Here is a 27,650-nt window from a genome sequence, read left to right as displayed (position 1 = left end):
CCGTCTCTACTAAAAATACAAAAATTTGCCAGGTGTGATGGCGCACACCTGTAATCCCAGCTACTCAGGTGACTGAGGTATGAAAATCACTTGAACCTGGGAGGTGGAGGTTGCAGTGAGCCGGGAACGTGCCATTGCATTCCAGCCTGGGTAACAGAGCAAGACTCAAAAAAAAAAAAAAAAAAGCTTCCTAGTTCTGAGCACAGTGGCTCACACCTGTAATCCCAGCACTTTGGGAGGCTGTGGCAGGAGGATTGCTTAAGCCGAGGAGTCCAAGACCAGCCTGAGTAACATAGCAAGACCCTGTTTCTACAAAAATATAAAAATAAAAAAGCCTCCCACCTCAACCTGAGCAGACTCGTTGACCAGGACTGGGTCACAGGCCCATTCTGTGGCCAGGACATTTGGCATGAGTCAGTCATTTGAAGGTAGAATCGACTCATGTCAAGAAGTTGCCACTGGGACGCACTGGTCCAGATGATGGAGGAGGAAGCTTGAGTTGCTATGGAGATGAATTCATTGTGGCTCCTCTATCCATCTGGCCCCAGGAGGCCTTGTCGGTAGAAAGAATGAAGGAACGCTGGACCATCTCAACTGTTCCCTGGATCTGGGACTCCCAACCAACCCCAGAAGCCAAGAACTCATCACGGAAACCAAAATAAGATTGTTTTATTCCAATCCTGAAGAACAATAGTCCAAACAATTCCCCTCCCCTGCTGGAGACTCTCCTGACCCCCAGTGCCCGCCCTCCCTCTCTCTTCAGAAGGCGATGGGGGTCGATGTCTCCAGGTCTTGGAGAAAAACCAAAACCACGCCCCTTGCATTTCGTCTCTACCCGTCTCCCACACATTTCTTTTGTCTCATCTCCGATTTTTCTTCCCCCTCCTACATCCCGTCCCTTCCTCTCCTGCTTCCCCCAGCTTTTCCTCATGTCTTCATTTCTGTCTCTTTGCTTGTCCTCTCTCCTCCATTTCCGGCTCCCCTTTCCATTTTTTCTCGCTTACCTCCTCTCCTTCATCTGTCTTCTGTACTTTCTCCCTTTCCCCTCTCCCCGCTGCACTCCCTAGACTGGCCAGTCTACTCTTGCCAGACACTCCCCATATGATCGCTTCCTCCCCCTCCCCCCAGCTCTGCCCCTTTCCTTCCTTCTGTCCCAGCCTGACCCTGTCTACACCTCTCATCACATGCTTCCTCTCCAGAGGGAAGCCCTCAGAATCCACCCTGCCCATCAACACCTTCCCAAGCTGTGGCTCCAGGACCTCAGAGACCACTTACAGCTTGCCCTTGGACCCAGAGAGGCAAACTGCCATGAGGAGGTCCCTGGATGACCCAGAAGGTGGCCAGGGGGACTGCAACGGTCTCCTTGGCCTCAGCCCTATTATCTTTGGGATCGAAGAATGCCCTCCGACCCTCCTGGTGGAGGGTGGTGGGCAGAGGCATGAAGGGTCAGGGCTCTGGGGCTCTCCCCCAGCAATCCCTGAGCAGGTCCATGTGGAATAAGGCAGCCCCAGTGAGGAGGCGCGCTGCAAAGAGGTGTCTGCAGGGCAGACGGCGGGCGGCGTGAATTGAGCAGCTGCAGCGTGTCAGGGCCCCATCCAGGAAGAAGTCCGAGGTGCCGTCCTTAAGGGCAAAGCCAGCTCCGGTCCAGTGGAAACCCCGGGTCCCATGCTGCCTAGCAAAGGCCAACTCCTCAGCCACCAGGTCTGCCAGCTCTGGCCCGCAGGCTGCTCGGAATTTGGCCAGGGGTTCCCAGTCCACCTCCTCCTCTCCCGGGGGTCGGCAAAGCCTCTTTGGTTCCCTGGGGCCATCTTCGCCTCCTTCCTGCAGGCCGTCACCTGCAGCCAGGTGTTCACTCCTCGCCGCTGCCCATTCTGGGCTGCCTTCCAATACAGTCCCCACCGGGGTGCCAGACACGACTCCATTCCCCAGCCCTAGACACCGCCCTCCTGCGTCTCCCCACTCCATCCCTCGTCCGGCTCGGCTCTTGGGGCCCACGGACCGGGCTCCCCCTCCATCTCCATTCTCCATGCCTGTGACCCTCGTGTCTCCCAGCTGGACCAGAACTATATCCTCCAGGCCCCTTCTTCTTTTGACCCCCACCCTCGCTCCCCTCTCCTCTGCAATCTCTGGCCCTCTCCTCCTCTCATCTTCCCACTGGGGTCCCCTTTGGTCTCCGTTCTCAGGGGCCAACTCCAGGGACTTCTCCAAGGGGATCCCCCTCAAGTTTCTGACCTCCAGCCCCCTCCCCTTCTCTACTTCTGACTGTGGCCCCTTCCATTCTGCAGTTCTCAGTCCCCCTGCCCTTTCATCGTGCAGCTGCGCCCCCCTCCAGGGGCTTCCTTCAAGACTCCTGACCCTCTCATAGTCAAACTGGGTCCCCCTCAGGTCGGTGGTACTCCTGCGATCTTCCAGCTGGGCCACCCTCCAGGTATACCCTTCCAATCCTCTTAGCGCCTGGTCCTCCAACTGGGACCCCCTCCAGACATAACCTTCCAGTCCCCAATCTTTCTCACCCTCCAACTGGGGCCCCCTCCAGTCTCTAATCTCTGGCCCTCTCAGGTGCCCTTTCTCTAACTTCGACCCTCTCAAGACACCCCCTTCCAGTCCCCTCGGCTTCTGATTCTCCAACCGACCCCCTCTCCAATCTCTGATCTGCAGTGCCCTCCCCTTCTCACCTTCGAACTGAGCCCCGCCCCAGTCTCTGGTTTCCAGTGCCCTTGCCCACTCCTTCTCCATCTGGGCTCCCCTCCAAATACTTCCTTCTTTCGGAGCCCCTCCCCAGTCGCCTGTCTCCAGGCCCCTCACCCTCTCGTTCTCCCCCTGGGCTCCCCTCCCTGGCTCATCCTCCAGCCAAGGCCCCCCGCCATCGGGCCCCTCGGGCACCGCCTCCCCGGCCGCGTCGGCCCACTGCATGGCCACCAGGTCGCGAAGGCACTGCGCCACGCCACGCGAGGGGCTGAGACGACGCAGCAGTCGCCGGCGGTGGCCTCGCACCAGGGCACACGCGTCCAGGTCTCTGGCCGCCTCGAAGGCGCGGAAGCGGACCCACATGTCGCGGCGGGGCTCCCAGTTGCGCTCGAAGTAGTCCACGAAGGCGGCTGGGCCGTGGGCGTGGAGCTCGGCCAGCGCCTCGTCGTAGGCTGCGGGCGACGACGCGCCAGCCAGGCGGCACAGGCGCGACCACAGGCCCGGGTCCTCGCGGCCGGCGCCGCCCAGCTCCTGCGCCTTGCTGAAGAGCGTCTCCAGGCCCTGCGCGCGGCAGATCTGCACGCGCGCGCAGGGCAGCAGCTGGCGCACTGCAGGCAACTGCGCCGCCACCTCGGGCCCGGCGGTGAGGCAGCGCACGCGGCCCTTGACGTCTGGCGCGCTCTGCAGCAGCGACGCGAGCGCGAAGCGCAGCAGGCTCGGTGTGCCCGGGCGCGCCACGCAGCAGGCAGCCTGGCGCGCACGGCCCGAGCCGTCCACGCACAGCACGGCCAGCAGATCCAGCGCGCCCTGCAGCCCCGGCAGCCGGTCCACCAGCAGCATGCGAGGGAAGCGCCGCAGCAGCGCCCTGGTGCGCGACGTCAGGAAGAACACCGTCTCCACCACAGCCTGGTCCTCCACGAACACCAGCTTCACCTGCGGGCGGGGGCAGGGAGGCAAGGAAAGAGGTCAGAGGATGCTGGGGTCTCCCCGCCCAGCTCCCCGACCTCGGTTTCCCCTTCTACGGAAATGGGACCACCCATTCATTCTTGCCTGCATATGCATTTATTCTTTTGACCGGCAGGAGGCAGTGCAGGGAAATGGTTAAAAACACTCTGGAGCCGGATTGCCTGGGTTTGAGATCCAGGTACCACAGTCTAACGGCTATGTGATTTTTTCCACATGACACTTTTAGCTTCTCTGAGCCTCAGTTTCCTCCGCCGGAAGCTGGCTATTCATTCCTCCGTGTGCTGAGAGGCAGTCTAGGGCAGTGGGTCTCAAAATGTGGGCCCTGGACCAGCAGCATCACCATCGGTTCTTGGGACCTGGACAGAAATGCACCTTCTCGGGGCCACCTCAGACCCACTGAGTCTGAAACTCTGGGGGCGGGCCCCAGCAATCTAGTTTGACAAGCCCTCCAGGGGACTCCTATGCATGCTTAAGGATGACTGGTCTGGTGGTAATGAGCTTAGATTGTGGAGGCAGATCATTTAGCTTTGAGTCCCACCCCCAACACTTCTGAACCCTGCGATTTAACCTCTCTGTGCCTCAGTTGCCTCCTTAACCTCCATATTCCCTGATTATCCCTTCTAGGCACTGAACATTCATTTCTCCATGCACTGAGAGGCAGGACAGTGGTGAAAAGCATAGCCTCTGAGGCCAAGATCCCTGGGCTGAGATCCTGGAGCCCCTGCTTCCTGGCTGTGTGCCTTCTGCCAACTTCCCTAACCTCCCTTTCATTTGTAAAGTGATGATAATAAGAGCATCTCTGTGATTGGAAAGATGAGATGCATTCAAGCATTTAGAACATTGCCTGGTACATATATTACTGTTATTACTTATCCAACAAATAGTAAGTGTTCTGAAAGTGGCCATTATAATTATCGTCTCTGTTCAAACATCACGTCCCGCTCTTCTGTGACTTCCCAACTAAGCAGACACCCCATCTCTCTCTGCCTCCTTTTGGCCATGGCACTTACCACCCTTTGGCAAGTCATATCTTCGTTTCCTGATCTGCCCATTGCCTGCTTGCCCTCCTTAAGATGGAAGCCCCACAAGCACAGGGATGTTCCCCTTCGGGATGGTCTCTCCTGGCCTCTGCCCTATGTGGCTCTTCCCTTTGCTGATTTTATTCCGTGTCCTTCTGCTGTAATAAACTGTAGCCTTGGCTATAACAGCACCCCTGATGCTTTGAATGCTACCTGCCCTGGAACAATGGCTCAATACATCCTGAGTGAGTGAACTCACGCGAGGGTGTGCAGCCATGTCCAAGGCCACATCTGTAAGGGTGGAGGTTTAAGGATCAGACTCCTGGATTTGCCTATTAGCCGTGGGACTTCAGGCAAGTGACCTCTCCTCAATGAGCCTTGGTTCCTTGTCTGGAAAAATGGAGATGTCTATTTAACAGGGTCATGGATGGGCTAAAATGAGATCACTCCTGGCCAACGCATGGAAGGACACCTGGCGTGCATCAGCTCTCAGCCGTTCTTACCGTCTGTCTCGATCTCTCAGCAGTATTCAGCACAAGTCTACATGGCTGACCCCAATAACAACCCTGGACACCAAGGCCCAAGTAAGTGTCCCTGGCTAGCAATACATCATTGTTGTCACATGTCATTGCTGGGAGAACTGAGCACTGTCCATGGGACTTCACTGAGAGACGACATCTGGCAGCTCATGCTGGTCTCTCTTGGCCTCTGCCCTATGTGCTGCTGTTAGATAATTAAGGAATCAGAGAGACTGATGGGGTCGCCTTGTGTGGCTCTTGCCTTTGCTGATTTTACTCTGTATCCTTTTGCTGTAATAAACTGTAGCCTTGACTATAACAATTTTTCTCAGTTCTGTGATTCCTTCTAGTGAATCATGGAAACTGAGGGTGGTCTTAGGGACCCCCATCTGCACCAGAGGAGTGACTTGCCCAAGGCCACTGCGCTAACAAGCAGTGATGCTGGGATCCAATAGATCCGGGCCATTAGGAATGATTGGAAACAAAAGCAGTAGGTGGGAGAACATGCATGGGCGGCATTTTAAGGGGCAGGGTGACATTTGATGAAGGCGGGGCTATGTAAATGTGTGTGTGTGTGTGTGTGTATATATATATATATATATTTTTTTTTTTTTTTTTTTTTTTTTTTTTTTTGAGACAGAGTCTCACTCTGTCGCCCTGGCTGGAGTGCAGTGGCGTGATCTTGGCTCACTGCAACCTCTGCCTCCCGGGTTCAAGCGATTCTTCCTCCTCAGCCTCCCAAGTAGTTGGGATTACAGGTGCCCGCCACCACGCCTGGCTAATTTTTGTATTATTAGTAGAGATGGGGTTTCACCATGTTGGCCAGGCTGATGAATACATTTTTCTGCCAGATATTTACTGAGAAAATATGATGTGCCATGTGCTGGCTCAGGCACAGAGGAGAACAAATGAGACACACCACTGAGTGAGAGGAGACAGCCCCCAGGCCAAGGATAAATAAATATAAAAAAGAAGGTTTCGGGTGTGCAAAGCACACATGAAGTAGTTTCTCTGCACCAGGCACAGTTCCAACAGCTAATCTTTCATCCTTACAATATCCCTGTAAGATAGATACTATGATTCTCATTCCCCTTTTTCAGATGAGGACACCGAGGCACACACGGCTTCAGTTGCTTGCCTGGAGTCACCCATGCGATTTGCAATACCAGGTGAGCTGGGATTTGAACCCTGACAGCTTGGGTCCAGGGCTTCTTGTTCCTGACCACTCTACCCTACAGCCTTCAAAAAATTGACCAAACAGGGCTGGCTTAGGCACACAGTGGACAGCAGTGCATTTTGCAGAGATGGAGAAACCCACGGAGGAACAGATTTTGAGGATGCAGATGAATGTACGGGTGTCCTTTCAGACACACAAATTGGTAGCACGGGGAAGCATCTGCCATAGACGACAGATTCCACAAACATGAACATCAGAAACCATGCCTTTACTACTTTCCATTCACACCTCTTCCGACACGTGAGTAAACCTTCCCTTTTCCATGTGATCAGAATGTTCACATGAAACTGTTCTCCAGACTGCCCCAAAGAAAAAATTGAAGGAATAAAAATAATAGCTAAGGCTGGGCACAGTGGCTTACGCCTGTAATCCCAGCACTTTGGGAAGCCGAGGCAGGTGGATCACCTGAGGTCAGGAGTTCAAGACCAGCCTGACCAACATGGTGAAACCCCACCTCTATTAAAAATACAAAAATTAGCTGGGCGTGGTGGTGCGCGCCTGTAATCTCAGCTACTTGGGAGGCTGAGACAGGAGAATTGCTTGAACCCGGGAGGCGGAGGCTGCAGTGAGCCGAGATTGTGCCACTGTACTCCAGCCTGGGCGACAGAGAGAGACTCCATCTCAAAAAAACAAACAAACAAACAACAACAACAAAATAATAGCTAAATATTGAACATATGCAGGGCTTCCTACTTCTGGGCACGGTTCTACCCATTCTGCACACACACACACACACACACACACACACACACATACACATACACACTGCACTTTCTCACACAACAACCCCAACAGCCCTATAAGATAGTATTATCCCCATTTTACAGATAAATGAACTAAGGGTTGGAGAAGGTAAATAGGTTGTTCATAACTTGTTCCATGTCCCACAGCTAGTAACTGGCACAGCCAGAACATTCATAAAGCTTTCAGCACATAGCAACATAAATAAAATCAAGTCACCAGCTGTTACTATAACACCCCAAAATGGCTTCATGTGAAAACAGGCTATACGGCATAGAAAATATTCCCTCTGGGAGCCATGAAAAACTAGAAAAGCTGAAACTAAGCTGCAGGAGGCCTGTGTAACTACATAGCAGGGGAAACACGAGCCCCATATTCAGACAGGGCTTTGGGCGGCCCTTGATGAAACAGTACCCTGTGGTTATCTTTTGCCGCTTGCCAAGAAATTGCAGTTCTCCCTCTCCCGGGCACTTAGTAGCGTTGCACCTCCCTGCCCCCTTGCAGGTAAGCAGTGTCATGTGACTTGCTTTGGCCAATCAAGTGTGAGTGGGAGGGAGCTGCGGCATCGCATCCAAGGAGAAGCCTTCGCAGCCACCGCTGCCAGATATGGTAATTACGTTGGGCTGAATGCCCATCCTCCTGGGTCCCAGAATGACTCAGATAAACAGTACTCCCCCAACATCCCGTGGTGGCTGTGTAAGTGAGCAAGAAATAAAATTCAATGAGTTCAGCCACTGAGATTTGAGGGCTGTTCATTATTACAGCAAAACCTAGGCCATCCTGACTCACACAACCTCAAGACCCTCTATAACTCGCCCTCTAATTTTTCCTTTGAGGAGAGAAACAAATGCGTTTAGTATGTTGGGACTATTGCTTAATTTTCTTTCTTTTTTTTTTTTTTGAGATGGAGTCTCAATCTGTCACCCAGGCTGGAGTACAGTGGCATGATCTCGGCTCACTGCGACCTCCGCCACCCCAGGTTTAAGTGATTCTTCTGCCTCAGTCTCCCGAGTAGCTGGGACTACAGGCACCCACGAGCATGCCTGGCTAATTTATGTATTTTTAGTAGAGACGGGGTTTCACCATGTTGGCCAAGCTGGTCTCAAACTCTTGACCTCAAGTGATCCACCCACCTCAGCCTCTCGAAGTGCTGGGATTACAGGTGTGAGCCACTGCGCCCACCTTCTATTTTCATCTTCTTTTTAAGAATTAATTATTTGAATATGCAAACATCCACATGGTCCTAAAGTCAAATAATGTAAAGCGATACATAAAAGGTCTTACTCCCACCTCTTTAGTCTAATCAGTCAGTTTCCATTCACTATTCTACCCTCATCCACAGTTCTTGGTATTCTTCTAGAGTTTCTTTATATGAGTACAAGTAAGCATACCTATAATTCTTATTTGCTCTATTTTATAGATAATACAGCATATTATGTACAGTTTTGCATTTTGCTTTTTTAACTTAAAAATGTGTTTGAGAGATCTTTCAAAATAGTTCCTAGACTTGTTCTTATTCTTTTTTTTTTGTTTGTTTAGGATGGAGTCTCACTCTGTCGCCCAGGCTGGAGTGCAGTAGCACGATCTTGGCTCGCTGCAAGCTACGCCTCCTGAGTTCACACCATTCTCCTGCCTCAGCCTCCCGAGTAGCTGGGACTACAGGTGCCTGCCACCATGCCTGGCTAATTTTTTGTATTTTTAGTAGTGACAGGGTTTCACCATGTGAGCCAGGATGGTCTTGATCTCCTGACCTTGTGATCTGCCCGCCTCGGCTTCCCAAAGTTCTCATTCTTTTTTAGTGCTGTGTAGTAATCCATGGATGGATATACCACAAGTTATGTAACCATTACCCGTTGGTGGAGTCTGGGTTGTTTCTAATCTGCTGCTTTCACAAACAACAATGATTAACCTTGTAAGTAAGTCCTTCCACAGCTGTGCAACTACATCTGCAGGATAAATCACCAGTAGTGGGATTGTGAGCCTAAGGGTGAGTGTTCTTGTCATTTTGATAGATATTGCTAAATTGCCCTCCACTGAGATCATACCAGCTTCCCATGGAGTATTCTTTTTTTTTGAGATGGAGTCTCGCTCTGTCACCCAGGCTGGAGTACAGTGGTGTGAGCTCAGCTCACTGCAAGCTCCGCCTTCCGGGTTCACGCCATTCTCCTGCCTCAGCCTCCCAAGTAGCTGGGACTACAGGCGCCTGCCACCACACCTGGCTAATTTTTTGTATTTTTAGTAGAGACGGGGTTTCACCATGTTAGCCAGGCTGGTCTCGATCTCCTGACCTCGTGATCCACCCGCCTCAGCCTCCCAAAGTGCTGGGCTTACAGGTGTGAGCCATCACGCCTGGCCCCATTGAGTATTCTTAAAAGGGATACACTTGCATCAATGCTCGCCATTCTCAGAAGGCAAAGCATACACGTAAGAGAACGCTGCAACGTTTCCGGGCAAGGTCTCTCTTTTCAGGGCTTGCTTGCTGGTTACCCTGGTGCCTGCCACAAGTGAGGGAATGGAGATGTGACTGGACCCCAAAGCCCATCATCATCAGGCAGGGCAGGTGATAAAAGGTGTTAAAGGTTGGGTGCGGTGGCTCACGCCTGTAATCCCAGCACTTTGGGAGGCCGAGGCAGGCAGATCACCAGGCCAGGAGATCGAGACCATTCTGGCCAACATGATGAAACCCCATCTCTACTAAAACACACACACACAAAATTAGCCAGGCCTGGTGGCGCACGCCTGTAGTCCCAGCTACTCAAGAGGCTGAGGCACAAGAATCACCTGAACCTGGGAGATGGAGGTCGTGCTGAGCCAAGATTGCGCCACTGCACTCCAGCCTGGGAGACAGAGCGAGACTCCATCTCAAAAAAAAAAAAAGGTATTAACACCTCCCTGGGTGAAGTCGCCCCCCAGTCTTGCCCTTAAATCATGCCTTGTGGCTTTGGGCGCATCCTTCTTGTCTGATCCCCTCCAAAGATCAAGAGAGCAACCCAACTCAGGAAGTGCAGGCACTTTTTACAAATAATCCTTCCTTTGGAAGACTGCTGGGAAGTGGAAAGACTGATTGTTGCTTGACCTAGGCTTGGGATGAAAATTTAAAGCTTGCTGTCTGTCTGTCTATCTATCTATCTATCTATCTATCTATCTATCTATCTATCTATCTATTTAAAGGGTCTCACTCTGTTGTCAAGGCTGGAGTACAGTGGTGTGATCATAGCTTACTGCAGCCTGAAGCTCCTGGGCTCAAGCAACCCTCGTGCCTCAGCCTCTTGAGTAGCTGGGACTACAGATGCATGCCACCATGCCTAATTTTTTTTTTTTTAATTTTTTGTAGAGACAGGTGCTCGTTATGTTGGCCAGGCTGGTCTTGAACTCCTGGGCTCAAGTGATCCTCTCGCTTCGGCCTCCCAAAGTGCTGAGATTACAGGTGTGAGCCATCGCACCTATTATATTATCAATATTACATGTTATGCGTTACATATTATAATATTAATATAATATATAATATTATATTATATAATATATAATATATATAATATTATATATAATATATATAATATAATATAATAATAATATAATATATAATATATATAATATAATATAATATATTATAATATAATATATAATATATATAATATATATAATTAATATATAATATATAATATATATAATATAATATAATATATAATTATAATATATAATTAATATAATATATTAATTATTACATTATACTGTTATATTACTACTGTATTATTAACATAATAATATAGAACTCTTTCATTAGATTTTATAAGTGAAAAAAAGGTGAAATTTCTGTGTAAAAGTGATGGATTGAACACCTCTCTAGTTTCACTCTCTCTTGAACCTCAATTACATCTTTTTTTTAAAATGGCTTTTTTTTTTTTTTAAATCAGAGGCAATATGATAGGGACAGAACTTTGGAAACTGGAAAGCAGCTGGACATGCTAATCCCACCCCACCCCTAAAAACCCATGAATCCTAAGCCAGCAATTGAGGGATGCTGAGAACCGGTAGCAAAGTCCTCAAAAGGAGCTGGCAACACCAGGCCAGTTTTGCAGAAGGCAAAATAAAGACGAACTGAGGGCTGTTTCAGCAGCAGCTAGACCTCCAAATCTCGTTTCCCCTCTCCCCTTACTCTTCCCCCACCCCCAGTGACTGGGGGTTTATTCTGTAGACAGGGTGAAACAGAAAGGGGCCGCTGGCTTTGGGGACATCTGGCCCATCTGAAGATGAGGGAGGGGGATTCTGAACCCCAAGTGGGTACTGAGTGCGTCTTGCTGGCTGAATGCCTGACAGCTCCCTGCCTCTGCCCCTGCAGCTCCCAGAAGCTGGCAGCCTGGCCCTGGCAGCCTGGCCTTCACCCCCCGCCAGGAGGCCAGAGGAGTTTTCTCAGGGGGATTTGACCAGCCCCAGAGGAAGAACGAAAGATGGTGACATCTGGCACTCCCCAACGTATAAAGCAAGATGCAAAACAGCATGTACAGGCCGGGTGTGGTGGCCCCGACCTGTAATCCCAGCACTTCAGGAGGCCAAGGTGAGTGGATCACTTGAGGTCAGGAGTTTGAGACCAGCTTGGCCAACATGGTGAAACCTCGTCTCTACTAAAAATACAAAAATTAGCCAGGCATGGTGGTGCATGCCTATAGTCCCAGTTACTCAGGAGGCTGAGGCAGGAGAATCACTTGAGCCCAGGAGGTGGAGGTTATAGTGAGCCAACAGCGTGCCACTGCACTCCAGCCTGGGTGACAGGAGTGAAACCCTGTCTCAAAGAACAAACAAACAAACAAACAAAAACAGCGTGTACACTAGGCTGCCCTGCTTGCTGGGGGTGGGGGGTGGCGGGGCAGAAAGAGGAAATAAAGTTAAAAATTAAAGTTAAACATACAGACATGCAAATTGACCTGTATATGTGCAGAGCTGCGCTGTCCAATCCAGAAGCCACTAGCTACATTAGGTTGTTTACATTTCGATAAATTAAATGACAAATTCAGTTCCTCAGTCATACTGGCCTCATTAAGCATTCTGTAGCCATGTGTGGCCAGTGGCCTCTGGATTGGACAGTACAGATAAGAACCATTTTCTTTCTTTTTATTTTTTTAGACAAGAGTGTCACTCTGTTACCTAGGCCAGAGTACAGTGGCATAATCTCAGCTCACTGCAACCTCTGCCTCCTGGGTTCAAGCGATTCTTGTGCCTCAGCCTCCCGAGTAGCTGAGATTACAGGCACCTGCCACCATGCCTGGCTAATTTTGAATTTTTAGTAGAGATCAGGTTTTGCCATGTTGGCCATGCTGGTCTCGAACTCCTGCCATCAGGTGATCCATCTGCCTCAGAGTCCCAAAGTGCTGGGATTACAGGTGTGAGTAACCATGCCTAGCCTGGATAAGGAACATTTCTATCATTGTAGAAAGTTCCACCGGGCAGTGCTGGTCCATAGGATAGAAAGCGAGATATGATTTATAAGCTGCTAATAACTCTGCAGGGGAGGGGACCTGGGGGACAGGATGTGATAAGACTTTTCACCACATACCTTTTTTAGAACCATGTGAATGTATGACATATTCAAAAAGTAAATATTTAAATGTTGCTTCACTAATCTGTCTCTCCTGTCCTAGAACTTCTTCCTCCTTTCTTTCAAGAGCATTAAGGGGCTGGGCACGGTGGCTCATGCCTGTAATCCCAGCACTTTGGGAGGCCAAGGCGGGGGGATCACCTGAGGTCAGGAGTTCAAGACCAGCCTGACCAACATGGAGAAACCCCGTCTCTTCTAAAAACACAAAAATTAGCATGGTGGCGCATGCCTGTAATCCCAGCTACTCAGGAGGCTGAGGCAGGAGAATCGTTTGAACCCGGGAGGCGGAGGTTGCGGTGAGCCAAGATTCCGCCATTGCACTCCAGCCTGGGTGACAAGAGCGAAACTCCGTCTCAAAAAAAAAAAAAAAAAAAGTATGAAAGCAGGTCAAAACACAGACGCAGGAGCCAACCGTGGTTTAGCCGAGATTCCAAGACAGCCTTCAAAATGAAAAGACAACTCCCCTTCCAGGGAAGGCTCTGATCTATGAATGAGCTGTTCTGCACAGGGACAATCCTGCAGAGGGTGGGTTCAGGGAAGAACAGCTGAGGCTTATTTATGTCATGGTGGGTAGTGGAGGAGAGTTACTAGATCAGCAAAGACCAGTGGAGTAGGAAGTGCATGTGTGTTTGTCCCCATGGTGAAGGTCATGGGTCTGGATCCAGGCTGTGTGGGTCCGAAGCCCAGCTCTGTCACTAAATAGCTGTGTGACTTTGAGCCAGTTACTTGACTTCTCTGTGCTTCAGTTTCCTTGTCTGTAAAATGGGGATGAGAATGGTGGACTATTTCCTCATAGGGCTCAGGTGAGATGAAAATGAGTTATAGTATGTAAAGCACTTAGGGTAGTGCCTGGCATATAGTAAGTGCTTGATAAACATTAGCTAAAATTATTATTATGTCGGGACAGAGGCCTGGGCTTGGGCTGGTGGCTTGAATCAGGGCTTCTTACTGGGCATGAGATGAAGACAGGAAGAGTGTGCCAGAGCTGAATCTCGACTTTACCCTGCCTTGGGACCTCTTCCACACACAAGGGAGACAAAGGCACAGCCAGGAGGAGAAACCAGTTCTTCCCCTACTTTCTCATCTTTCTTTCCTCTTTAAACTTCAAGTTCACCCCAAACTTGAAGTTGGATTAAAGCCGCAGAGATTCCTTATGGAGCAGCAGCCATCCTCACTGTTCCTCCAACACAAGCTTGCTCGTGCCTCTGGGCCTTTGCACTGGCTGTTCCTTCTGCCTAGAATTCTCTTCCCTCTGATGACAGAATGAGGGTCCCTTGCCTCTGTTCCATCTCCTCTGCTTCACCATCATTTGCTAAAGAGACCTTCCCTGACCAATTCAAACAGCACCCTTAGAACTGTCCCGCTCCAGGCCCCGGCCTTTTTCTCCTTGATGATAACTTATCGCTCCATCACATTACAGGACATAGCACTCTTCCTTCTCCTAATTCTCCATCTGCATGGTGGGTTCAGGTGTGTTCTCCCCTTGAGAACATTCATCAAACTAAGTATTTATCATTTGTGCATTTTCTGTTTGTGCAGTTCAATTAAAAAAAAAAAAATTTAAGTAGGCCTGGCGTGGTGGCTCATGCCTGTAATCCCAGCACTTTGGGAGGCCGAAGCAGGACTGCTTCAGTCTGGGAGTTCAAGACTAGCCTGGGCAACATAGGGAGACCCCCCCCCGCCAAACATCTCTACAAAAACTAAAAAATTAGCTGGGTGTGGTGGTGCACGCCTGTTGTCCCAGCTGCTCGGGAGAATGAGGTGGGAGGATTGCTTGAGCCTGGGACATCGAGGGTGCAGTGAGCCATGACTGCACCACTGCACTCAGCCTGGGTGACAGTGAGATCCTGTCTCAAAAAAAAAAAAGATTAAAAAAAAAAAACTTACATAGCATTTGTCATCACTGTGGCTCCCCTTCTTGCTAGCACCCAGCCAGCCCCTAGTGATGTTACATCATATTTGGACATGTTTGTCAGTTGTTGGTTTTTCCCGCCAGAACTGCAGGGGCGTTCTGGCAGTTACCTCTGCAAGGCAGCCAATAGCCATAGGTGGCTATTTAAATTTCAATTAATTAGAATAAATTCAGGCCGGGCGTGGTGGCTCTCGCCTGTAATCCTAGCACTTTGGGAGGCCGAGGCGGGCGGATCACAAGGTCAGGAGATCGAGACCATCCTGGCTAACATGGTGAAACCCCGTCTCTACTAAAAATACAAAAAAATTAGCCGGCGTGGTGGCACGCCCTGTAGTCCCAGGTACTCGGAAGGCTGAGACAGGAGAATCGCTTGAACCCGGGAGGCGGAGGTTGCAGTGAACCCAGATCGCACCACTGCACTCCAGCCTGGGTGATAGAGCACTCCAGCCTGGGTGACAGAGTGAGACTCCGTCTCAAAAAAATTAATTAATTAATTAATTAATTCAGTTCCTCAGTGTACTGGACACATTTCAAGTGCTCAGTAGCCACTTGTGGCTGGGGGTGCAGAATCACAGAACGTTTCCATCCTGGAAGAAAGTTCTACTGGGCAGCACTACCCTAGAAGGTAAGCTCTCTGCGGACAGAGACCACGTGGGTCTGGTTTGCTGCTGCATCCCCAATGCCTCGGTAAGTACTTATTGAATGAATGAACGGATGAATGGAGGAAAGGAGTGAAGGGATGAGAGGGCGGATGAAGGCATGAATGACCCACGAGTCTTCAGCGCGGCTTTCCCCCGCCCCCTCCCCCGGCCTGCCTCTCTCGAGACCCCACCTTGGCCTCGGGGTCGGTGCGGAAGAGGCCCTCGAGCACGTGCAGGGCGTCCAGGACGCCGTGGTCGCGGCCCTTGCAGTAGGACAGCAGGCGGCGCACGTCGGCTGGGGCCACGAACTGCTTGGAGATCTTGTTGGTGGTGCGCACCGGCAGGCAGGCGTTGGCCAGCAGGTGGCCCGGGCGGAAGTAGTAGGCGAACTCCAGCGGGCAGGCCGGGTGTGAGTGGGTCAGCTGGCACTCCGTCACCACGAGGCGGTCCCGCAGCGGGCTCAGCTTGACGATGATGAAGGCGGGGCAGCCGGGCTGGGGAGGCCTGTGGGAGGAACCACCACCGCCCTGGTCACATCACTCTGCTGCCCTCTTCTTCCTTTCCACTCACCTTTTTTTTTTTTTTAAACTAAGAATTGTTTCAGGCATAGAGAAGAGTAGAGGGCCCTAAGAATATGCCAGCTGTGTGACCTGGGGCAAGTCACTTCAAGTCTCTATGCCTCAGTTTCCTCATAGGTTACAAGGAAGGTCCTACTCATCATACCTTCCTCATAGGATCGTCATGAGCATGAAAAGAGTTAATATAGGTAAAGCACCTACACAGTGTCTGGAATATGGCAAGCAGTAAGTGTTCACTAAAATTCTATACCTACCACCCTTAGTTCTGTCAAAAGTGAGTGAATGTTTTATTGTATTTACCTTAACTTTTTTTAGAAATAAAAAATTTCAGATAGTCCTGTATCTGCTTCTGGTTTAGCAATAACATCAAAAGTTGAGGCCTTCTGTGAACGCTGCCCTAACAGATTATCTTCCTTCCCTCTGTCCCCAGAGGCAGCCACTATCAAAATTATCTATTAGCATTCCATGTATATTTTTATGCACCCATAAACAATGGGAGGTATGTTTCTGTGTGTTAAAAGCATTGTATACGTGAAAAAGGACTCAAACTCATTAGTCATCAAAGACATAACAAATTAAAACCCTAAGGAAATGCCACTACACATCAGCAGAATGGTCAAACAAAAGAGACTGATAACATCAAGTGTTGATGAGGACGTGGAGCAACTGGAACTCTCACCCATCACTGATGGGAACGTGAAATGGCACAAGCACTTTGGAAAACTTCATGGCAGTATCTACTAAAGCAAATTTTATGTCTCTCCTGTGACCCAGTGGTGCCACTCAAGACAAATGGGCATCTAAAGCTGTGTACGAGAATGTTCATAGCAGCACTATGTGTATTCGCCAAATACTTGAAACCTAAATATCCAACAATAGAGTGAGAAAATAAGTTGTGGTATATTCCTAAAATAAAACACTAATCAGCACCAAGAATGAACACACCATTACAACCTCCAACAACACGGATGAATCTCACAAACCTACCAAGTGAAAGAAGCCAGACATGAAAGAGAAACTGATATAATTCCCATTTATATAAAGTTCAACAGCAGGCAAAGTTAACCTCTATCGTTAGGAGGCTAGATAGTGGTTACCCTTAAGTGGTTAACCCTGTGAGGGGGCACCAGGAGGTTTCTTGGGACTGGACATATTCTGTTTCTTGTTCTGGGTGCTGGTTACCTCTGATTTTTTTTTTGGGAAAATTCATTCAGTTTCACACATATGATGTGTGTACTTTTCTGGATGTGTGTTACATTTTTTAAAAGTCTACTTCGAAAAAACTTTGTTTTTGGCCAGGCATGGTGGCTCACGCCTGTAATCCCAGCACTTTGGGAGGCTGAGGGGGGACGGATCACCTGAGATCAGGAGTTTGAGACCAGCCTGGCCAACATGGTGAAACCCTGTCTCTACTAAAAAAATATATATATATATATATTAGCCAGGCGTGCTGGCTAATAATAGGCTAATGGGATTACACCTGTAATTCCAGCTACTTGGGAGGCTGAGGAAGGAGAATGGCTTTAACCCGGGAGGCAGAGATTGCAGTGAGCCGAGATCGCACTACTGCACTCCAGCCTGGGGTGACAGAGCGAGACCCTGTCTCAAAGCAAAAAAAAAAAAAAAGAAAAAAGAAAAAAAGAAAAAGAAAACTCTTTGTTTCCGAGCATTGCGGTAGCAAGAATCATGGTTCCCCAAAATATTCACATCATAGTCACTGAAACTGTGCATATGCTGCCTTCCATGGCAAGAGGACCTTTGCGGGTGTGATGAAATTAAGGGTCTTGAGATGGGGAGAGTCTGGATTACCCAGGTAGGCCCAAATGTCATCACAAAGGTTCTTATAAGGGAAAGAGGGAAGTAAGAGGATCAAAGTCAGAGAGAGATTGAAAGATGCTACCTTCTAGCTTTAAAGATGGAGGAAGAGCCAGGCACAGTGGCACTTGCTTATAGTCCCAGTTACTCAGGAGGCTGAGCTGGGAGGATCATTTGAGTTCAGCCTGGGCAACATAGTGAGACTAGTGAGACCCCTACCTCTCAAAAAAAAAAAAAAAATTGGAAGAATGGCCTGGCGCGGTGGCTCATGCCTGTAATCCCAGAACTCTGGGAGGCCGAGGTGGGCGGATCACCTGAGGTTGGGAATTCAAGACCAGCCTGACCAACATGGAGAAACGCGGTCTCTACTAAAAATACAAAATTAGCCAGGCGTGGTGGTGCATGCCTGTAATCCCAGCTACTTGGGAGGCTGAGGCAGGAGAATCGCTTGAACCCAGGAGGCGGACGTTGCGGTGAGCCGAGATCGCACCACTGCACTCCAGCCTGGGCAACAGGAGCAAAACTCCGTCTAGAATAAATAAATAAAACAAATGGAGGAAGAGGCTCCAAGCCAAAGAGCATGGGTGGTCTCTAGAAGCTGGAAGGATAAGGAAGCAGATTCTCCTTAGAGCCTCCAGAACACAGCACTGCCAATGTCTTGATTTTAGCCCTGAGACCCATATTGGCCGCCTGACCTCCAGAACTGTGAGATAAATAAATTGGTATTGTTTTAAGCCACCATATTTGTGGTAGTTTGTTACATCAATTGAGACTAAGACAATCATCCCACCTTACAGATGCCTTTGCAGCTGGCTTTTCACTCGGATTTTCAAAACTGTTCAGTTTCATTCCTTTTACTGCTGCCGAATGTTCCACTCCACGGCTCTGCCATCTATGATGGTGTTTCCAGTTCTCCTCTGTTACGAATGATGCTTCAATCACCCCAACGTGTGATACAACACTCTCTTATACATCTCTTTATGTGTGTGAGCAAGAGTTTGTCTAGGACAGCGGTTCTCAGACTGCACAGCATAGCCCATTACATGAAATTAATGTAGAGAGTTGCAACCAACACTGTAGAAAATGAAATAGGGCCGGGTGCAGTGGCTAGCACCTGTCATCCCAGCACTTTGGGAGGCTGAGGCAGGAGGATCACTTCACCTGAGTCCAGGAGTTCAAGACCAGCCTGGGCAACATAGCAAGAGCCCTTCTCTACAAAAAATTAAAACATAAAAAAGTAGTCAGGCATTGTGGCACACACCCATAGTCCTAGCTATTCTGGGAGGCTGAGGCAAGAGGATCACTTGAGCCCAGGAATCCGAGGTTATAGTGAGCTATGATGGCACCATCATATTCCAGCCTGGGCAACGGAGCAAGACCTTGTCTCAAAAAAGAAAATAAAAGAAAGGGAATAGGAAAAAAAAATCAGAGTGTATTTCTCTGATAGTAATATTTAAATTGGCATCTGATTTCTGAAGAGGGGTTCAGTGTTTCTCCATGTGGGGTAATATCAGCATTTTTTGGCAGATTTTATGTTTATACAGCAGGAGCTGTCAAACATTTTCTGCAAAGGGCCAGGTAGTAAATGTTTAATATATTCTGTTGCTATATTGCAAACGAAGCCATAGACGTATGTAAATGACCAGGCATGGCTATGTTCCAATAAAACTTCATTTATAAAAATAGGCTACAGGCTGGGCGTGGTGGCTGACGCCTGTAATTCTAGCACTTTGGGAGGCTGAGGTGGCCAGATCACGAGGTCAAGAGTTCGAGACCAGTCTGACCAACGTGGGGAAACCCTGTCTCTACTAAAAATACAAAAATTAGCCAGGTGCGGTGGCACACGCCCATAGTCCCAGCTACTCAGGAGGCTGAGGCAGGAGATCGCTTGAACCCAGGAGGTGGAGGTTGCAGTGAGCCGAGATCGCGCCACTGCACTCCAGCCTGGGCGACAGAGCGAGACTCTGTCTCAAGAAGAAGAAAAAAAAAAGTAGGCTGCAGGTTGGGATTGGTCCAAGGGCTTCCTAGTTTGCTGACCCTTGTAACACAGACTGCCCGGGGCCTGGTATGTAGTTAAGAAACCCTGGCTCCCAGGTAGTAAATACCCCAGTAACACACCCCCTAAAAGCCCTCCTATGCTTTTTCCAAATGGCCCCCCAACTGGGTGATTCTCCCCAGGATCCACCCAGAGAAATGCTTAAATCCACCAGTATAAATGCTTAAAAATTTTCTTTGTTAAACCAGAAGGGCATCCTTGACACACCCCTTTTTTCCTACATGCACGAGGTGAAGAAAAACGCAGGAGCCTGCTAGATTTTAAGAATCAACATACAGAGTTTGAGACTTTATGCCTCATTTAAAGTAACAAGGCCGGGCACGGTGGCTCACGCCTATAATCCCAGCACTTTGGGAGGCCAAGGCGGGCGGATCACTTGAGGTCAGGAGTTCGAGACCAGCCTGGCCAACATAGGCAAACCCCATCTCTACTAAAAATACAAAAATTAGCTGAGCGTGGTGGCGGGCACCTGTAATCCCAGCTACTCAGGAGGCTGAGCCAGGAGAATCGCTTGAACCTGGGAGATGGAGGTTGTAGTGAGCTGAGACTACACCATTGCACTCCAGCCTGGGCGACAAGAGCGAAGCTCCATCTCAAAAAATACAAAAATAATGCACATTTAGAAAATTATTCAATGTACAAATAAATATGAATAAAATAAACATACAGCCACCATGTGGTATCAGGTGGAAGCAAAGGAAATCCCCGCGTGCAGCCATGTTTGATTTATCAAGATTGCAAGTTCACGGTATGCCACCCCGTACATTTTTCTAGAATAATTCGTGGGCTTTTGTGAAACCCTTGTCTGACTTCCTTCAGCCTAGGTGTTTCAGGCCCTAGGACAGCCCCTTGCTCCGGGTAGGTCACCTCTTCTGTGAAGCCATGAATCTTGCCAGAGAATAGGGCATCTCCTCTGCAGGGGCCCAGAATCTCACATAACCACCTACTGGTGCTTCAACACGCCATTTTTCCAATTTCTCTCCACCTGTCTGGAGGAATAATGTCATCCCCCCGCTAAATGTAAATTCCACATGGATAGGAATTTTTGTCTATTTTGTTTATCTCTGTATCCTCAGCACCTAGAATAGTACCTGGCGTCTGGAGGTATTCAGTAAGTGTGTGATGATTCAGTGACTAAATCCCACGATGTAACCTACAAACCCTGGCACACCTACTCTGGGATATGGTCTCCATTCCACCAAAACCATCCATCACCACGTCCTACCCATCCACATTTTTTCCATTGCCACAACCTATCGTAAGTTCTTCCCTCCTTCATAAAACATTCCTCTCCCTTTTCACCTAGTCAACTCCTACTCATCTTTCAGGCCTCACAGCCAGCATCGCCTCCTCCAGGAAGTCTTCCCTGACCATATCCTGGCTAGGGCATGGTCCATCACATGTAGGGAATTTTATTTTTTTTTAATTTTTATTTATTTATTTTTTTGGAGACGGAGTCTCACTCTGTCCCCAGTGGCACAATCTTGGCTCACTGCAACCTCCGCCTCCCAGGATCAAGCAATTCTCCTGCCTCAGCCTCCTGAATAGCTGAGATTACAGGTACACGCCGCCACACCCAGCTAATTTTTTTTTTTTAATTTTTATTTTAGTAGAGACGGAGTTTCACCATGTTGCCCAGGCTGGTCTCAAACTCCTGAGCTCAGGCAATCCACCCACCTCGGCCTCCCAAAGTGCTAGGATTACAGGTGTGAGCCACCGCACCCGGCTGGGATTTTTATTTATGTCCATCTGTAATGTACGCTCCCCACAGAAATCCCAGCATCTAAAACCACCACCTTGCACATTGCAGGGGCTCCCAAAAACCTCTTGGGTGAAGGGATGGATAGGCTGGTGCCCAGAAACAACACATCTTTAGGGGATCCATGGCACGGTCAACCCTCACACTGAGGGTTGAATGATTGAAATAAAGATGAGGGAAGGAGAGAGAAAGAGAAAGTGAGAAAGAAAGGCGGGAGGGTGGTAATTAAAATCATGGGCTTAGTAACCAGAATGAGGGTCCAGACCCTGGTTTTCCCTCTTAGCTGCTGTGTTATCCTGGGAACAATCTTTAAGCATTCTGTGCCTCAGTTTTCTCACCTGGAAAGTGGGGCCAATAGTAATACTAGTCTCTCAGGCTTGTAGAGAGGGCTAAATAAGAGGATTAAATTATGTAAAGTGGTTAGAAATGGGCTAGTGCATAGTAAACAATGCAGAAATAGTACCTGCTATTTTTTTAAACTTTTTTTCAAGGACCCGTTGCTTTGCTTTGATTTGCCTTCCACTTACCCATTTATTCATTTTTTTGAGATAGAGTCTCGCTCTGTTGCCCAGGCTGGAATGCAGTGGCACAATCTTAGCTCACTGCAACCTTCGCCTCCTGGGTTCAAGTGATTCTCCTGCCTCAGCTTCCCGAGTAGCTGGGATTACAGGCACCTGCCACCAGGCCCGGCTAATTTTTGTATTTTTAGTACAGACAGGGTTTCACCCTGTTGGCCAGGCTGGTCTCAAACTCCTGACTTCAAGTGATCTGCCCGCCTCGGCCTCCCAAAGTGTTGGGATTACAGGCGAGAGCCACCGCACCCGACTACCCATTTATTCTTGATCGTTCAGGTTTTCAAGATCTTTATGTTTTCAACGGCCGGTGTGTATTGAGAAAGGCTGAGCAATTCTGTTCCAGGGAGGGAAGTGCTGAGAGAGAGGGATGGGGGAGGAACTGGAGCTGGAGAGCTGAAGCTGCAGCAGTGGTGACTTCAAGAGAGTCACTGTGTAACCTCTGGCAAGGGGGAAGGAGTGGACAGGAAGAAAGTTCTTGTCTGGTTCCTTGCACCCTCAGCCCCAGCCTCCTCCTTCATATCCCTTCTCTCTCCCCCACATCGTCTCCCACACGGCCCCAGAGGGATCTTCCTCCACCCAGAACTGACCCTACTCACAGCCTTCTAGGGCTCCCACCACCCCCAGATAAAGTCCCAACTCCTGTACTCAGCCCTGCCAGATCCAGCCCTTGACACCACTGCAGCCTCATGTCCTGCCTTTCCTTACACACTAACTTCTCCAGCCTGACCTCGGCCCATGGGCTGTCCCTGGGCTGTGGCACTGGAGAGGCTCTGCTTTGAGCAGCTCGAGAGAGTGAGGGAGCTAGACATGACGGCTCCAAGATATCGTTCCTGAACCGGCTCATCAACCACCTGCTCCCGCACTCCCCATTCAGAGACCATCTCATCATCTACCCAGTCCCAGGAGTGTACCCAGGGCCCTGTCCTCGCCCCCTCCATAGTCCTGTCTCTCCTGCTCCTTGGCTGTCTCTGATATTTGTAGAGCACTTGGGACAGTACCTGCACATAGTAAACCTAGTGTGTCTGTTAGCTCACATACTATACATACATAAACATATCAACAAAATTCTTCAAGGTTCTGCTTACTGGTTACCTCTTCCAGGAAGCCTTCCAGAACCACCCAGTAAGCTTTCAGGTGGAGCTGACCACTCCCTTTGTATCCTCCTCTCATCTCCCCCTCAATCTCACTCTCACTACTATGGGCCACTATCTATAATTTTTTTTTGTTTTTTGGTCTTTGTCTACCCCATTAAGTTCTGAACTGTTCAAGAGCCGAGATCAGTCTCGGATTCTAAACGTCCAGTGAAGGGCATGCACATAGTAGGTGCTCAATAAGCATTTGTTACATTGGAACTGGGTTCTGTTAATAGGTTTCAGATTAGGCCTGAGCTTCTTTGAGCTTCTTGCAAGCTCTAACGTTCTAGGTTTCTGGGTGATGTGTGTGTTTGATGCTGTTCCACTTTCAGATCTCCGAGTCTCTGTTTCTAGAATAAGTAGTGAGAAAGAAGTTGCAAGAATGTATTTCACAATACATGTTTAAATAACTACCGGTGAAAGAGCTGTTAAGAGTGTGCTTACTCTGTGCTGGATGCCTTTCTGAATAATTTACCTATGAGATAGACACTATTATGTCTCCCATTTTCCACATGAGGAAACTGAGGCCACAGAAAGGTGAAGTCACTCACTCAACAGCATCCACCAAGCATCAGCAGCACAATGGCCCAGAGTCCATGCTCTCGAATCCTGTAACAGCTATCACTTAACCAGCCACCCCATGTTCCAGGCACCAGGGTTATGTGTTTTTCTCATGTATGATCTCACAGTATCCTCACAATGGCCCCATGAGGCGGGTATCGTGATAACCCCATTTCAAAGGATGAGAAAACTGAGGCTTGGAGATGTGAAGTCCATTGCCCAAAGTCACCCATCCAGGAAGTCGTGGAGCATGTCTCAGGCAGCCTAAAGGCAGAGCCTGTGTTCTTAAGCACTCTGTTCTTGTCTACAGCTCCCCAACCAAGGGTCTCAAACTCACACACCTACTGGGACCAGGCAGGCAAAACAAGCAAAAGACAGTGCTAGGGATGAGGCAGCAGAGAGTGGCAGGGTTTGGGGCAAACCTGGGCAGCAAAGCCCCATCCAAGAGGGGTGGCCGTCTGCCAATGGAAACATGGGCTCACCTCTTCCGGTGTTCCAGTGGAAGCTGGAAACCTAACTGTGTGGGGAACAACCCCTGTTTAAAACTGGGGTCAGACCAGGCACCGTGGCTCACACCTGTAATCCCAGCACTTTGGGAGGCCAAGGCAGGCAGATCACCTGAGGTCGGGAGTTCAAGACCAGCCTGGCCAACATGGTGAAACCCTAAAAATACAAAAATTAGCTGGGCATGGTGGCGCATGCCTGTAATCCCAGCTACTGGGGAGGCTAAGGCAGGAGAATTGCTTGAGCCCAGGAGGCTGAGGTTGCAGTGAGTGGAGATTGTGCCACTGCACTCCAGTGTGGATGGCAGAGCAAGACTCCGTCTCAAATAAAATAAAATAAAATAAAGTAAAATAAAATTGGGGTCAATTTGGCTGGGTGTGGTGGCTCATGCCTGTAATCCCAGCATTCTGGGAGGCCGAGGTGGGCAGATCACCTCAGCCTCCTTGAGGTCAGGAGTTCGAGACCAGCCTGGCCAACATGGTGACACCCCATCTCTACTACAAATACAAAAATTAGGTGGGCATAGTGGCACACACCTGTAGTCCCAGCTACTTGGGAGGCTGAGGTGGGGGAATCTCTTGAACCCAGGAGTTGGAGGTTGCAGGGAGCCAAGATCGCACTACTGCTCTCCAGCCTGGGCAACAGAGTAAGACCCTGTCTCAAAAAAATAAAGACTAAATAAAATACAATTGGGGTCCATTAAAATACCCCTGGCCACCTGGGTGTGATTCTGGCTCTCCTGGATTTCTCACCTGCCCCTCTTTGCACAGTTGTAGGGAACTACCTGTGAGCTTGTTCTTTTAACGTCAATCTTTCTGTCCAGTCAGAAAGTACCAGAAGGGCAGGGATTTTTGTCTCTTGCCCAACTCCATCGCTCCAACTAGAATATCCCCAGCCCACAGCATGGGACCTGGCCCCTTATTCACTGAATAGATGGATCCTTTTCTTTATCCTGCGGCTTCTCTGCAGTTCAGTCTCCCAGTCTCTGTCTCCCAGTCTTTGTCACGTGTACAAAACCTGGCTCTTCTGTTTCCCTGGCTGTCTCTGGTGTCTCTGCCTCCATGTCTCCATGTTTCTGGAATTTTCCGTGACTATTTTCTCCTCTTGGGGTGTGTGTGTTTTACGCTCTGCCTCTCGAAGTCTCTATTACATTCTGTAAGTCAGGCCGGGCACAGTGGCTCGCGGCTGTAATCCCAGCACTTTGGGAGGCAAGACGGGCAGATCACCTGAGGTCATGAGTTTGAGACCAGCCTGGCCAACATGGTGAAACCCCATCTCTACAAAAATCCAAAAATTGGCCAGGCGTGGTGGCGCGTGCCTGTAATCCCAGCTACTCAGGAGGTTGAGGCAGGAGAAACAACGCTTGAACTCGGGAGGTGGAGGTTGCAGTGAGCCGAGATTGTGCCATTGCACTCCAGCCTGAGTGACAGAGCAAGACTCTGTCTCAAAAAAACAACACAAAGCAAAACAAAACAAAAACAAAAACAAAAAACCACACAAAAATTAGCCGGGCATGATGGCAGGTGCCTGTAGTCCTAGCTACTCGGGAGGCTGAGGCGGGAGAATCACTTGAACCTAGGAGGTGGAGGCTGCAGATGGCACCACTGCACTCAAGCCTGGGCGACAGAGCGAGACTCCATCTCGAAAAAAAAAAAAAAGTCTGTAAGTCGGGCCCACACCATCTCTTGCTCCGTGAGTATCTTTGTCTCTCTAGCTCCTCTTCTTCTCTCAGTACATGTCCCTCCTTGACTCCCGCCTCTCTGCAAGGTGTATTTGGCTGCCTCAGTTGGCCTCTCCCCCTCTGCATCTCTGGGTGGGGTGTTCTCTGCCCGTCTCCCACCCACACCCACCCCCGGTGCTCCCCTTCCCCCCAGCAGGACAGCGGCTCAGGTTCACGCACCCCACGGCGGGCCGGCTGGGCGCACGCACGTCCTTGCACACAAGCCGCACGTAGCTGTACTTGAGCACGTCGATGAGCGTGTAGAGCGGGGGCGCACTGGCCCAGCGGCAGCGCGCCAGGTGCATGGAGCTCTTGACGAAGAAGAGCGCCAGCCGCTGCTGGCACCACGCGTCGAAGAAGCGGCTGAACTCGGCCCACGAGAAGAAGGCCCGCTCCCGCAGCTCCTGCTCCTCCTGCCCCGCAGCCGTGCCGGGTGGGGGCTCCGGCCGCTCCATCCTGGGGGCCTGCGTGGAGGAGGGGAGAACAGGTGGATATCAGACCCATTCCCACCCGGGGTATCTCATCTACTCCATTCTTGGCCTGCCCCGTCGGTTGCTGGTGCCTCTATCGAGGTGGGTAGCCCGGGGTCGGACGTGCCTGTTTTTCTCCAAATATATAAATATCAACCTCCATCCTATCTTTGGCCTCCTCCCACCGCCTTATCCCTGGTTCACTTGGAGCCTGTCATCTTGATTCCTAATTCCAACTCGTCTCCTCCTCCGCAGATGTGACCCTTAGGTACAGTTGGAATCTCTCCTCCCAAAATACGACCCTTAAGCTCAGATGTCCCTTAAGGACATCTCCTCAAATGTGTTCTCAAATTCCAGCTAAAACCTCCTCCCCTTCCAGCTGTGTCTCTCACCCAAGAGTAACTTCTAACTCTCGTATTCATCTGGAACTCCTCCTTCCATGTGCCAACAGTTGGCTGTAACCCCTCCAAAGACGCTCCATCTCCAGATGTGCTCCCACATCCAGGCCACGGACCCCTCACCCGGTCACATGCTTCATGCACCTGTGGCTCCGCACTCCCCAGATGTGCCTCTGGCGTGCAGCTGTTGCCCCTTCCCCCGATTATGACCCTATGGCTCGCCACATGCAGCTGTAGCTGGGGCTTCCCTGAGACACTCTCATCTCCAGATGTACTCCCCACATGCAGTTATCCACGCTTCGCCTACAGGTGTGTGCCCCACTTGTGGCTAGTTCTCCTCGGAAGTGTCACCAGTATTCACCTGTGGTCCCCTCCTCCTCAGATGCGGCCCCCAGTCCAGCTGTGGGCCCCTCCTCCCAGTTACATCCACCATCCCCCGCAATATGCATCTTCGTTCTAGACATGGCCCCTCGTCCTCGGATGGGCTCCTTCACCCCAGATGCTCCCCCCACGTCCAGCTGCGCGTCTCCCCTCGAGCAGCCCCATCCAGCCCGCTCCCGACCCTCCTACTCCCCCCCTCCCCGCCCGCTGCGGCACCTTCCAGCCCCGCCGTCCCACCTAGCTGTGCCTCTCCCCTCCCCAAGATGTGCACCCTTCCCGCCCCTCCCCACTCACCTACCCGCCCCGGAGCGGCGTCCACCTCCCACAATGCCCCGCGCCCAGGCCTGGCCCGGCCCTTGCTCCCGGGATGCCCCGCGCGGTCTCC

General features: G+C 50.1%; 1 protein-coding gene across 6 annotated transcripts, besides 4 other annotated features; it reads right to left on the bottom strand.

Moving 5' to 3' along the window:
* Window positions 654-27,594, bottom strand: ZSWIM9 (zinc finger SWIM-type containing 9). Of its 6 annotated transcripts, none has more exons than XM_005259449.4 (4): window positions 26,879-27,594; window positions 26,197-26,480; window positions 15,507-15,819; window positions 654-3,621 (listed from the first exon to the last, which is right to left on the bottom strand). In XM_005259449.4, exons 1-4 carry the CDS (start codon window positions 26,906-26,908, stop codon window positions 1,447-1,449), a joined length of 2,802 nt encoding a protein of 933 aa, XP_005259506.1. In that variant the 5' UTR covers window positions 26,909-27,594; the 3' UTR covers window positions 654-1,446. The 6 variants fall into 6 exon arrangements, with proteins under 6 accessions (XP_005259506.1, XP_006723267.1, NP_955373.3 ...); XM_006723204.4 differs by having other exon boundaries at window positions 27,246-27,594; NM_199341.4 differs by having other exon boundaries at window positions 27,560-27,594.
* Window positions 1,248-1,760: an enhancer, noted in NCBI's record as "H3K4me1 hESC enhancer chr19:48699771-48700283 (GRCh37/hg19 assembly coordinates)". NCBI's record gives its function as "activates a minimal SCP1, AML or CMV promoter by ChIP-STARR-seq in primed H9 embryonic stem cells {active_cell/tissue: H9 hESC(primed)}" and the evidence as "EXISTENCE:reporter gene assay evidence [ECO:0000049][PMID:30033119]".
* Window positions 9,646-9,878: a silencer, noted in NCBI's record as "fragment chr19:48691653-48691885 (GRCh37/hg19 assembly coordinates)". NCBI's record gives its function as "represses an EF-1alpha promoter that drives an FKBP-Casp9 reporter gene in an ReSE screen in HepG2 liver carcinoma cells {active_cell/tissue: HepG2}" and the evidence as "EXISTENCE:reporter gene assay evidence [ECO:0000049][PMID:32094911]".
* Window positions 11,472-11,531: an enhancer, noted in NCBI's record as "active region_14872". NCBI's record gives its function as "activates an Ori minimal core promoter by ATAC-STARR-seq in GM12878 lymphoblastoid cells {active_cell/tissue: GM12878}" and the evidence as "EXISTENCE:reporter gene assay evidence [ECO:0000049][PMID:35858748]".
* Window positions 27,402-27,541: a silencer, noted in NCBI's record as "silent region_10874". NCBI's record gives its function as "represses an Ori minimal core promoter by ATAC-STARR-seq in GM12878 lymphoblastoid cells {active_cell/tissue: GM12878}" and the evidence as "EXISTENCE:reporter gene assay evidence [ECO:0000049][PMID:35858748]".

This window comes from Homo sapiens, chromosome 19 (assembly GCF_000001405.40).
Source record: "Homo sapiens chromosome 19, GRCh38.p14 Primary Assembly".
Lineage (NCBI taxonomy): Eukaryota > Metazoa > Chordata > Mammalia > Primates > Hominidae > Homo > Homo sapiens.
The sequence above is the reverse complement of the archived record's forward strand: the minus strand, read 5'-3'. Positions and strand labels throughout refer to the sequence as shown.